Source organism: Homo sapiens, chromosome 3, assembly GCF_000001405.40.
Source record: "Homo sapiens chromosome 3, GRCh38.p14 Primary Assembly".
NCBI classification, from domain to species: Eukaryota; Metazoa; Chordata; class Mammalia; order Primates; family Hominidae; genus Homo; species Homo sapiens.
Genome location: NC_000003.12, coordinates 97,273,589 through 97,286,400, shown reverse-complemented (window position 1 = coordinate 97,286,400; position 12,812 = coordinate 97,273,589). Strand labels below are relative to the sequence as shown.

Sequence of the window (12,812 nt, the reverse complement as noted above, 5' to 3'; positions counted from 1 at the left end):
TCCAAATGAATTAAGGACTTAAATGTAACACTTGAAAATATACAAATACTAGGAGAAAACATAAAGAACAAATTTCATTGCATTGGTCTAGCCAAAGATTTTATGGTTAAGACTTTAAAACCACAGGCAGCAAAAGAAAAAATGGAGTAATAGAGTATATTAAACTAAAAAGCTTCTGCACAGCAAAGGAAATAATCAATAGGGACAAACTGTTTAATGGGAGAAAATATTTTTGAACTAATCACCTGACTAGAAACTAATGAGCAGAAAGAACAAAGAATATACAGAGAACAGAAATAACTCAGTGGTAAGAAACCAAATTATCTCATTCAAAAGGGACCAAAGGGATAAACAGACATTTCTCAAATCAGGACATACAAATGGCTAACAGGTATATAAAAGAATGTTTAACATCACCTATCATTGAGAAAATGCAAATCAAAACCACAGTGAGATATCATCTTACCCTAGAATGATTATTTATGAAATGACAAAAAATAGTACATGCTGGTGAGGATGTGGAGAAAAGGAAACTGTCATACACTGTTGGTGGGAATGTAAATTAATGCAGCCATTATGGAAAACAGTATAAAGATTTCTCAAAATAAAACCAAAAAACTAAAACTAAGAATAGAACTACCATAGGATGTAGCAATCCCACTACTGGGTATTTATCAAAAGGAAAGGAGATCAGTATATCAAAAGGATATTTGCACCCCATGTTCACTGCAGCACGATTTGCAATAGCAAATATATGGAATCAATGTTAGTGTCTATCTATAGATGGATAAAGAAAATATGATATATACACAATGGAATACTATCTGGCCATAAAAAATAAAATTATGTGCAGCAATTATGCAGCAATATCAATACAAATGATGGTCTTTATGTTAAATAAAATAAACCAGGAACAGAAAGACTAGTATTGCATGTTCTCACTCATATGTGGAAGTTTAAAAAATTGATCTCATGGAGGTAGAGAGTAGAATGATAGTGAGCAAAGGATAGGAAGAGTGGGAGAGAGCAATGAAGAGAGGCTGGTTAATAGGTACAAACATACAGTCAAATAGAAGGATTAAGTTCTAATATTTGATAGTTACATTTATCACATTGCATCTATGAATCATGACCAAAAACCATAAATATGCCAAACAAAATATCTTACAAATGCAATGTCTTCCACTTCTATCAGTCATTTTTCTAATTAAATATTTAACAAAATAACAATATTTAATCATCATCAATGGCTCTTAAATTTATCTTTAAAAGATGAAGAGTCGTGGTATTTGAAATTTCACTGTGTGTCTGGATCAATGCCTATCAGCAGAAGTTTATCAGATGGCGGTATTCCAGAGGCTGAACAAGTTTTTGACACACGTATAGTCAAAATTTCCCAAAACTACTAGTTCCAATACCATTTAAATGCTAAACACATAAACCAGAAAAATGTTAAAATACAAGATGTCAGTTATATAGTGAATGTATATACCTATCCCTCTAGAACTAAATAATTCAATTTTTAATAATTTACTATTCTGATAGATCTATGTAAATATTTTAATTATTGCACTGGTGTACAAATTAAAGATTTAACATATTTGTATTAATTGGGAGGAGAATCAAATGGCCTTGGGGAATTTTTTTGTCTCCCACCTTAATAGCAACTGTCATGAATCATTATTATAACAACAGTATGAAATCTGGGATAGTTCACTATTTTTCACATCATGTTATTCAGTACTTCTACTCCATAGTGCTGAACTGGCACTTTAGAAATGAGTGTACTCTTAGTGTATGAAATCAGCAGTCACGTGTTTGGAGATGATGTTTTTAGAAAAGCCAGTTCAGTAGAGGAGTAGAGGTAGTAACAAGCATATGGCTAAAAATTACAAACAAAAAATGGGAGTGGAGACACAAACTCGGACTCACAGGTAAATGAAACAAAAGTAAGTGTGAAGCTTTAAAGGAAGAAGTAAGATGTTCTCAGAATAAGATCGAAAATTGGAAGAGAAATGAGGGATTACTTTCCTTAAACTAACAAGCCTTTCTCTCTTTTTGCATAAAAAAGGAAAAAAGATAATAATTTTAAAATGAAACTTCCAGTAATTTTTAATTCAAAAGTAACAAAAGGGCACAGATTTAAAAGCTAGTAAAACAATAAGAATCAAATATCTAGTTTAGAAAGAAGTATTGACTATACTTTTATGCAAAATAGGTTTATGATGTCACAGATGGGAAACTTTAAATAGATTTCTTTAAAAATTGTAGAAAAATACATTTTTGATATAGAATTTATTTATTTAAACATGTATTATCTATTAATTGCTGTGCATTGAGTTAAGCAAAAGGTAACAGAAATGTGCACAGCAGAATTTGTGAAAAAACTTTATTTTAAGCACTAGAAAATATAATTATGAGATAATGGAATTTATTATATTTCTAGGTAAAGATATAGTTGGGATTATAATCTTCAGAGATAAATAAAATTGCTTTATTGTGTATCCCTTGTTGACTGAATTGAGGCCTAGTATTTTGCCATTCTTAACTTAGTCTCTATAACATATTTTAATTATCACAAGTAATGTACTTAAATGTCATTGCTTGATAATAAGTTTCATTATTATTATTTATTTTAAGTTATGAGATACACGTGCAGAACGTGCAGGTTTGTTACATAGGTATACATGTGTCATGGTGGTTTGCTGCACCTATCAACCCATCATCTAGGTTTTAAGCCCCTAATGCATTACATATTTATCCCAATGCTCTCCCTCCCCTTGCCCCTCACCCCCCTGAAAGGCTCCGGTGTGTGATGTGTAGACTGTTTAGCAACATTTAATATTATAATCACCATTTCTATAATCACCATTTCATTTAATATTATAATCAACATTTAATATTATAATCACCATATCTAGGCTAGTTTAGATAACTGTATCCTATCATTTTCCTTGCCAATGTAATCACAAAACAAAGTTCAAAAAATATATAAAAGAACTTTTTAAGATAAAATTGGCATAGTTACATGATTCAATGAATCTCATAATTTTTGAGATATTTATTCCCATTTATCTTACTGCATGCAAGATAATAATTTATATTTCAAATATTAAACTATAAAATGGAACTAAACAATTTCAAAATTCATTTAACTTGTCACTTTACATAATGTGCTATCACCTACCTTTATGCTTTTTAAAAAAAAGTTGTTGACAGTTTGAAAATTCACATACCAAGTCAATAAGAGAGAATAATGCAAAAAATCTAACAAAGCATTTTGATTTTGGTGGTATATCTTAGTTTATTACAATATTAATTTTCCAGTACTATTCTTTGTTTATATAATTACTGACCTGTAGAGTACTTGCTGACATTGCCAGTCTTTCTTTTTTAAAATTTTATTTTATTTTAAGTTCTGGGATACATGTGCAGGACATGGAGGTTTGTTACACAGGTAAATGTGTGTCATGGTGGTTTGCTGTACCTATCAACCTATCACCTAGATATTAAGCCCTGCATGCATTAGCTATTTATCCTAATGCTCTCCCTTCCCCTGCCCTGCTGATAGGCCCCGGTGTGTGTTGTTCCCCTCCCTGTGTCCATGTGTTGTCATTGTTCAGCTCCACTTATGAGTGAGAACATGTGGTGTTTGGTTTCCTATTCCTGTGTTAGTTTGGTGAAGATAATGGCTTCCAGCTTCATCCATTGTCCCTGCAAAAGACATAATCTCGTTCCTTTTTATGGCTACACAGTATTCCATGGTGTATATGGACCACATTTTTTTAATCTAGTCTGTCAGTGATGGGTGTTTGGGTTGATTCCATGTCTTTGCTATTGCGAATGGTGCTGCAATAAACATACGCATGCATGTATCTTTATAAAAGAATGATTTATATTTCTTTGGATATATACCCAGTAACGGGATTGCTGGGTCAAATGGTATCTCTGGTTCTAGATATTTGAGGAATTGCCGCATTGTCTTCCACAATTATTGAACTAATTTACATTCCCACCAACAGCGTAAAAGCATTCCTATTTCTCCACAGCCTCGCCGGCATCTGTTGTTTCGACTTTTAATAATTGCCATTCTAAGTGGCACGAGATGGTATCTCATTGTGGTTTTGATTTACATTTCTCTGACATTGTCAGTCTTTCAATGTAAAAACATTTACATTTCTCTGTACATATTGAACATACTTATATTTATCTGACATCATCAGTCTTTCCTATTGTAAAAAGCTTGATAAAAAAACTGGGCAATATGGACACTGTAAATATTATAAGGAATGTAATTTTAAAGGGCAATGTGTTCAATTACTGAACTGCTATGTTTATAAACATTCCTTGACTGTCACAGCATATGGGAAGGAACTATAGAATCATATAATGCCTTGAAAATCTTAATCAGCCACATACTGAACACTTATTATGTGTGCCACATTATTAAAAATTTGGTGATATTTTCTAACATTTTCTGATTTGTAAAAACGTTTAAATTATTGAAAAGGATTAAGTTACACACACTGTAAAAAAATTCAACCAAATTTAAAGTTATAGGCCCTGACTTATTAAAAATTCCCTTGTGTCTCAACTCATTCACCTGTGAAATGAGGATAACAACTGTTACTGTACCTAGGCATGTTGTGAGAATTACATATATTAATACATGTAAAGCCCTTAGAATAGTACCTTGTCCATATAAAGCACTGAATAAATGTAACATACAGTAATAATGATGATGTTGAAAATATTATTATTACAATCTCAGTTGATTTCATGTGTGATTTTCATTGTGTTATAATCCCTTCAGGCTTGTTTTTGAGTATTCTATGCAATTTTCTGTGGTTTAGTGTAAAAATGATTGGAATCACAGTGAGAGACTCTTTAGTGTAATAGGCACACTTGATTAGGAGACTGAGGGTTTGTGCTCCCTTAGCAGTATGAAAAATATCTAAATTTACTCATATAAGGAGAAATGCAAGTTAAAATAAAAATAAAATGAATGCAAATTAAAATACAAATTGAATTGAGATCCATCCTTCTCTTTGAAATATGTGCTTCCTTTTCCCCCAAAGAAGTTATAAATTAACTGTATTTAAATGGGTTAATTCTAATAAAGCAGTGACCTTAAAACACCACACACACACATGCTCATGCACACACGCGCGCACACACACACACACACACACACACACATAGACTCTTTGAATTAATGATTGCAATTCCGGTCATAGCTTTACAAAGTGTAAATCAAACTCTTCTCCTTTTCCTTTTTTATGACACCTCTCTAGTGTCATCTGATAACACTTAACTTCTCTCCCTCATTGTAAGTAATCATAACAAAGAAGTTTACTTAATTTAAAAATAGTACAGAAATGCCAAGTGACTGAACTATGTAGATAAAAATGTATTTATAAAAGATAAAACTTCACTATTATTCAGAGGGAGTAATTGCCAAATATAGACCACATCACCTGCTAGGTTTACTGTTTGAGATGGGGATACAGAGTCAAATTGCTTATCTTGTGGGACATGTTTAATATGCTCATAGTTACACATTAAAGGGTAATAGAGATTTAACTCAATACTCTGCCTTTAAGAGTTAATCCCAGAAGATTTTTGGTTTTGGAACTTGCCCTCATATTTGCACAATATATGAAATTCAGAACCTTATAAAGAGATATATAAGGAAACTATAAGTATGAAAATAGTTTTAAAAATGTATACATGCTAGACAGCAACCCTATACAAATGTTCAAATTATTGACACACCAGGTTCTGAAAATTATAGGTGTGCTCGAAGAGACCATAGAGATAATCCAGTTCAACCTCAGTTTTATAAATGGAGATTAAAAAAAAAGGCTCAGAAAAATGAAGTACCTTGAGAAAGATTACTCAGATGGCAGAGTAAAGGCTGAGACACAATTATTAGTGAGTCTTATGTTTCAACCTTTTGTTTGCTTGCTGATCCTATGTATGTCTTTAAAATGTTCTTGGCTTTCTAAATACCAGCAATAATAATATTATTTGAGCACTTACCACATGCCAGGAACTGTTGTATGAAATTAATTTATATAATTGCATTTAATCTTTACAACAATCATTTAAGGAGAACACTATTATCAATCCTTACTTTACAGAGAGAGAAGGAAATCTAGCAGTTAAGCTACACTTTTACAATTTCATCTGTCAGTTATTTAAAAATGCTAGGGAGGTCAGGTGCACTGGCTCACTCCTGTAATTCCCAGCACTTTGGGAGGCCAAGGCGGGTGGATCACTTTAGGTCAGGAGTTTGAGACAAGTATGCCACATGGCAAAACTCTGTCTCTACTAAAAATATGAAAATTAGATGAGACTGGTGGCAGGTGCCTGTAATCCCAGCTGCTCAGGAGGCTGGGGCAGGACAATCGCTTGAAACTGGAAGGCAGAGATTGCAGTGAGCCAAGATCTCATCACTGTACTCCAGCCTGGGCAACAAGAGCAAGACTCTGTCTCAAAAAAAACAAAAACAAACGAACAACAAGAAAAAAGAAATGCTAGGGAGCATATAATTATTGGCAGTTATTTCTACTCTTCAATAAAATTAGCAGTATCTATGAATTGGACAGTGTTTGATCTAATATCTCTGACCTTTTTTCTAAAGAAAATTTGGAAGTGAAAATGTCATTCATGTCTTCAGTAAACATCAAGATTAAACATATAATCTTTTCTATATTCTTCCATCCTTGAATCCACCTTGATCATAACCAGGTTTGATTGATTCTCTGCTTGGCTTCGTGCCTATGATGTATTGTGTAACTAGATTTGGACTTTCTTATAAAATGCTCTTTCACATTGCTTAAGCCTTACCTGATTTTAATTTGCACTTCCCTTGCTCTGACCTGCTTTTTTTTTTTTAAATAGATTTCCTATTCTCTTCACTTGAGCAGTCTGACAGCACTCAAAAGATGCTTATGATGGCTCATTTTAAAATTTTCATGTAGTCACAAGTTAGTCACCCTTGTTAGAGATATTTTCTTCTTATAAAATAGCACGCTTTTCATGAAGGGGGTTCTAACAAAGTATGTGATGGGTGGGTTGTAATTTATTTATTCTAATAGTCACAGTAAGAACACTATTAATAAATCTATTAATTTTTTAATATCAATAGATTAAAAAATACCATGTTTCTCTTTCCAAACAAATATCACTGGAATATATTGGAGGTAAAAGCAAAACTAGGAATGGATGTTCTGGCCCTTTTCATACTTAGTAATTTGTATGTTCCCATTTTGTGACTTGACTATTTAAGAAACATCCTAAATTGCTTGTAAAGAATCCACTAGTAAATTATGTGAGTGTAATAGATTATAATTGTTGTGAAAAGCTGTCTCACGTTCACAGTCTTTCACCCCTTCTACCAAGAGATAAAGAGCCCACACAGCCTGTACTGTGCTTATTACCTTGTGTGGGAATATCCTGCCCTGTTTCAATCGTATGTGTTTTTGTCCTGCCTAAGCATGTGTGTCAGCGGCCCTCAGATACACTCTCAGCTCCCATGGAGGAGGAGTCTGAGTCAAAATCCTTCTGCTGCTGCCCATGAGGGGTGTGTGCAGGCCAATACCCCTAAATCAGGTGCCTAGAGAAACCTGCTGGCCATGGGGGACCTACACCCACTACAGGAGCTGATCTTACTCTGTTATTCCTGTATTTGAGTAACACACTGCACCCTCTAGTGCTTAACTGTGTTGTTTTTCTTGGTGATTCTGATATGCAGTGGACAGAGTGTATAGACTTCTATACTGAGTGGTTGAAATAGTGATGATCTTTGCTATCCTCCATGTTCAAGTTCTTTCCTAGAATTGACAACCTGTGCACAGTTTTTTGCTTGACAGTTTGGTGCAGCAAGCAGGGTCTCCAAAGGACACATTATGGCTAGATGAAAACGCAAAGGCTTATAATGTATAAGCCTGTTATTCAATTTATAAACTTTAAAACACATTTTTAAGAAACCTTTATGCAAAAATGAAAGAACTTCCTGTATACAATTAGTTATCAATGAAAAGATCAGCATTTGGGAAACATCTTTAAGTATCAGCATAACACGACCAGTCCTAACTTCAAAGTAGTGTTATTTTTTTCATACAAATAGACTTATAATATTTACTAGAATAAAGGAAACTAGCAGTCATTGGGTCTAAACTCTGATTTTAATTTTCACCATATTTGCTTTAAAGAAATGTATGAGAAATCAAAATCAGAGAGGAAATGAAAAACATGCTTAGTGAACATCCTTTAAGAAGTGGCCATTAGTAGCCAAGAGTTAGAAACAACTTAAGTATCTATCAACAGATAAACGGAAATTATAGTACAGTCATGTGCTGCATAATGTTTCGGTCAACGATAGACAGCATATGACAGTGGTCCTAGAAGATTATAATAGAGCTCAAATATTGCTGTCATCTGGTGACATCATAGCTGTTGTAGCATAATTACTTTCTTTTTATAAATTTAGTGTAGCCTCAGCGTACAGTGTTTATAAAGTCATCAATAGCATGCAATCATGTCCTAGGCCTTCACATTCACTCACTGCTCACTCACTCACTGACTTGGAGCAACTTCCAGTCCAAGCAAATTCCAGTTCTATAAGCTCCATTCATCATAATTGCTCTATATATGTGTACCATGTTATAACCTTTATACTGTATTTTTATTGTATCTTTTCTTTGTTTAGATATGTTTAGATATATAAGTATTTACCATTGTGTTACAATTGCCTAAAGTACTAAGTACAGTAACAAGCTATACAGGTTTGTAGCCTAGGAGCAATAGGTTATACCATATAACCTATATGGAGTAGGCTATATCTGTCAGGCCTCTGAGCCCAAGCTAAGCCATCATATCCCCTGTGACTGCACGTACACATCCAGATGGCGGGTTCCTGCCTTAACTAATGACATTCCACCACAAAAGAAGTGAAAATGGCCTGTTCCTGCCTTAACTGATGACATTACCTTGCGAAATTCCTTTTCCTGGCTCATCCTGGCTCATCCCAGCTCAAAAGCTCCCCCACTGAGCACCTTGTGACCCCCACCCCTTCCCGCCAGAGAACACCTCCCCTTTGACTGTAATTTTCCTTTACCTACCCAAATCTTATAAAATGGCCCCACCCCTATCTCCCTTCGCTGACTCTCTTTTCGGACTCAGCCCATCTGCACCCAGGTGAAATAAATAGCCTTGTTGCTCACACAAAGCCTGTTAGAATCGTCCCAAATTCTCCTTCTTTCCGTCTCGCCTGTCCCCTCAGTTCCAACCCCAAGCGTCACTGAGTCTTTCTTCCTTTTCTACAGACCCATCTGGCCTTTCCCCTCCTCCCCAGGCTGCTCCTTGCCAGGCCGAGCTAGGTCCCAATTCTTCCTCAGCCTCTGCTCCTCCACCCTATAATCTTTTTATCACCGCCCCTCCTCACACCTGGTCCGGCTTACAGTTTCGTTCCACGACTAGCCCTCCCCCACCTGCCCAGCAATTGGTGGCTGGAGCTAAAGGCATAGTCAAGGTTAATGCTCCTTTTCCTTTTTCCTTATCCCACCTCTCCCAAATCAGTTAGTGTTTAGGCTCTTTTTCATCAAATATGAAAAACCCAGCCCAGTTCATGGCTCATTTGGCAGCAACCCTGAGATGCTTTATAGCCCTAGACCTAAAAGGTCAAAAGGCCGTCTTATTCTCAATATACATTTTATTACCCAATCCGCTCCCGACTTTAAAGCTCCAAAAATTAAATTCCGGCCATCAAACCCCGCAACAGGACTTAGTTAACCTCACCTTCAAGGTGTACAATAATAGAAAAAAAGTTGCAATTCCTTGCCTCCACTATGAGACAAACCCCAGCCACATCTCCAGCACACAAGAACTTCCAAACGCCTGAACCGCAGTCGGCCAGGTGTTCCTCCAGAACCTCCTCTCCCAGGAGCTTGCTACAAGTACTGGAAATCTGGCCACCGAGCCAAGGAATGCCCACAGCCCCGGATTCCTCCTAAGCCGCATCCCATCTGTGCGGGACCCCACTGAAAATCGGACTGTTCAACTCACCTGGCAGCCACTCCCAGAGCCCCTGGAACTCTGGCCCAAGGCTCTCTGACTGACTCCTTCCCAGATCTTCTCCACTTAGAGGCTGAAGACTGACACTGCCCGATCGCCTCGGAAGCCCCCTAGACCATCATGGATGCCAGGCTTCGGGTAACTCTCACAGTGGAGGGTAAGTCCGTCACCTTCTTAATCAATACAGAGGCTACTAATTCCATATTACCTTCTTTTCAAGGGCCTGTTTCCCTTGCCTCCATAACTGTTGTGGGTATTGACGGCCAGGCTTTAAACCTCTTAAAACTCCCCAACTCTGCTGCCAACTTGGACAACATTATTTTATGCACTCTTTTTTAGTTATCCCCGCCTGCCCAGCTCCCTTATTAGGTCGAGACATTTTAACTAAATTATCTGCTTCCCTGACTATTCCTAGGCTACAGCCACACCTCATTGCCACCTTTCCCCCCAGTTCAAAGCCTCCTTTGCATCCTCCTGTCATATCCCCCCACCTTAACCCACCAGTATGGGATACCTCTACTCCCTCCTTGGCGACCGATCATGCACCCCTTACCATCTCATTAAAACCTAATCACCCTTACCCCGTTCAATGCCAATATCCCATCCCACAACACGCTTTAAAAGGATTAAAGCCTGTTATCACTCACCTGTTACAGCATGGCCTTTTAAAGCCTATAAACTCTCCTTACAATTCCCCCATTTTACCTGTCCTAGAACCAGACAAGCCTTACAGGTTAGTTCAGGATCTGTGCCTTATCAACCAAATTGTTTTGCCTATCCACCCCGTCGTGCCAAACCCATATACTCTCCTATCCTCAATACCTCCCTCCACAACCCATTATTTCTGTTCTGGATCTCAAACATGCTTTCTTTACTATCCCTTTCCACCCTTCATCCCAGCCTCTCTTTGCTTTCACTTAGACTGACCCTGACACCCATCAGGCTCAGCAAATTACCTGGGCTGTACTGCCACGAGGCTTCACAGATAGCCCCCATTACTTCAGTCAAGCCCAAATTTCATCCTTATCTGTTACCTATCTCGGCATAATTCTCATAAAAACACATGTGCTCTCCCTGCTGATCGTGTCTGACTAATCTCCCAAACCTCAATCCCTTCTACAAAGCAATAACTCCTTTCCTTCTTAGGCATGGTTAGTGTGGTCAGAATTCTTACACAGGAGCCGGGACCACACCCTGTAGCCTTTCTGTCCAAACAACTTGACCTTACTGTTTTAGCCTAGCCCTCATGTTTGCGTTCAGCGGCTGCCGGTGCTTTAATACTTTTAGAGGCCCTAAAAATCACAAACTATGCTCAACTCACTCTCTACAGTTCTTATAACTTCCAAAATCTATTTTCTTCCTCATACCTGACGCATATAGTTTCTGCTCCCCGGCTCCTTCAGCTATACTCACTCTTTGTTGGGTCTCCCACAATTACCATTGTTCCTGGCCTGGACTTCAATCCGGCCTCCCACATTATTCTGGATACCACACCTGACCCTCATGACTGTATCTCTCTGATCCACCTGATATTCACCCCATTTCCCTATATTTCCTTCTTTCCTGTTCCTCACCCTGATCACATTTGGTTTATTAATGGCAGTTCCACCAGGCCTAATTGCCACTCACCAGCAAAGGCAGGCTATGCTATAGTATCTTCCACATGTATCATTGAGGCTACCACTCTGCCCCCCTCCACTACCTCTCAACAAGCTGAACTAGTTGCCTTAACTCAAGCCCTCACTCTTGCAAAAGGACTACGCATCAATATTTATACTGACTCTAAATATGCCTTTCATATTCTGCACCACCATGCTGTTGTATGGGCTGAAAGAGGTTTCCTCACTACGCAAGGGTCCTCCATCATTAATGCCTGTTTAATAAAAACTCTGCTCAAGGCCGCTTTACTTCCAAAGGAAGCTGGAGTCATTCACTGCAAAGGCCATCAAAAGGCATCAGATCCCTTTGCTCTAGGCAATGTTTATGCTAAGGTGGCTAGACAAGCAGCTAGCTTTCCAACTTCTGTCCCTCATGGCCAGTTTTTCTCCTTCACGTCAGTCACTCCCACCTACTCCCCCGCTGAAACTTCCACCTATCAATCTCTTCCCACACAAGGCAAATGGTTCTTAGACCAGGGAAAATATCTCCTTCCAGCCTCACAGGCCCATTCTATTCTGTCATCATTTCATAACCTCTTCCATGTAGGTTATAAGCCGCTAGCCTGCCTCTTAGAACCTCTCATTTCCTTTCCATCGTGGAAATCTGTCCTCAAGGAAATCACTTCTCAGTGTTCCATCTGCTATTCTACTACCCCTCAGGGATTGTTCAGGCCTCCTCCCTTTCCTACACATAAAGCTCGGGGATTTGCCCCTGCCCAGGACTGGCAAATTGACTTTACTCACATGCCCCGAGTCAGAAAACTAAAATACCTCTTAGTCTGGGTAGACAATTTCACTGGATGGGTAGAGGCCTTTCCTACAGGGTCTGAGAAGGCCACTGCGGTCATTTCTTCCCTTCTGTCAGACATAATTCCTTGGTTTGGCCTTCCCACCTCTATACAGTCCGATAGCAGACCAGCCTTTATTAGTCAAATCAGCCAAGCAGTTTTTCAGGCTCTTGGTATTCAGTGAAACCTTTATATCCCCTACGGTCCTCAGTCTTCAGGAAAGGTAGAATGGACTAATGGTCTTTTAAAAGCACACCTCACCAAGCTCAGCCACCAACTTAAAAAG

General features: G+C 37.8%; 1 protein-coding gene across 12 annotated transcripts in view, besides 1 other annotated feature; it reads right to left on the bottom strand.

The window, feature by feature from the left end:
* EPHA6 (EPH receptor A6) overlaps positions 1-12,812 on the bottom strand; it is a 946,939-nt gene that overhangs the window by 475,132 nt on the left and 458,995 nt on the right. The window lies entirely within an intron of this gene.
* Positions 8,840-9,698: an enhancer, noted in NCBI's record as "H3K27ac-H3K4me1 hESC enhancer chr3:96995547-96996405 (GRCh37/hg19 assembly coordinates)". NCBI's record gives its function as "activates a minimal SCP1, AML or CMV promoter by ChIP-STARR-seq in primed H9 embryonic stem cells {active_cell/tissue: H9 hESC(primed)}" and the evidence as "EXISTENCE:reporter gene assay evidence [ECO:0000049][PMID:30033119]".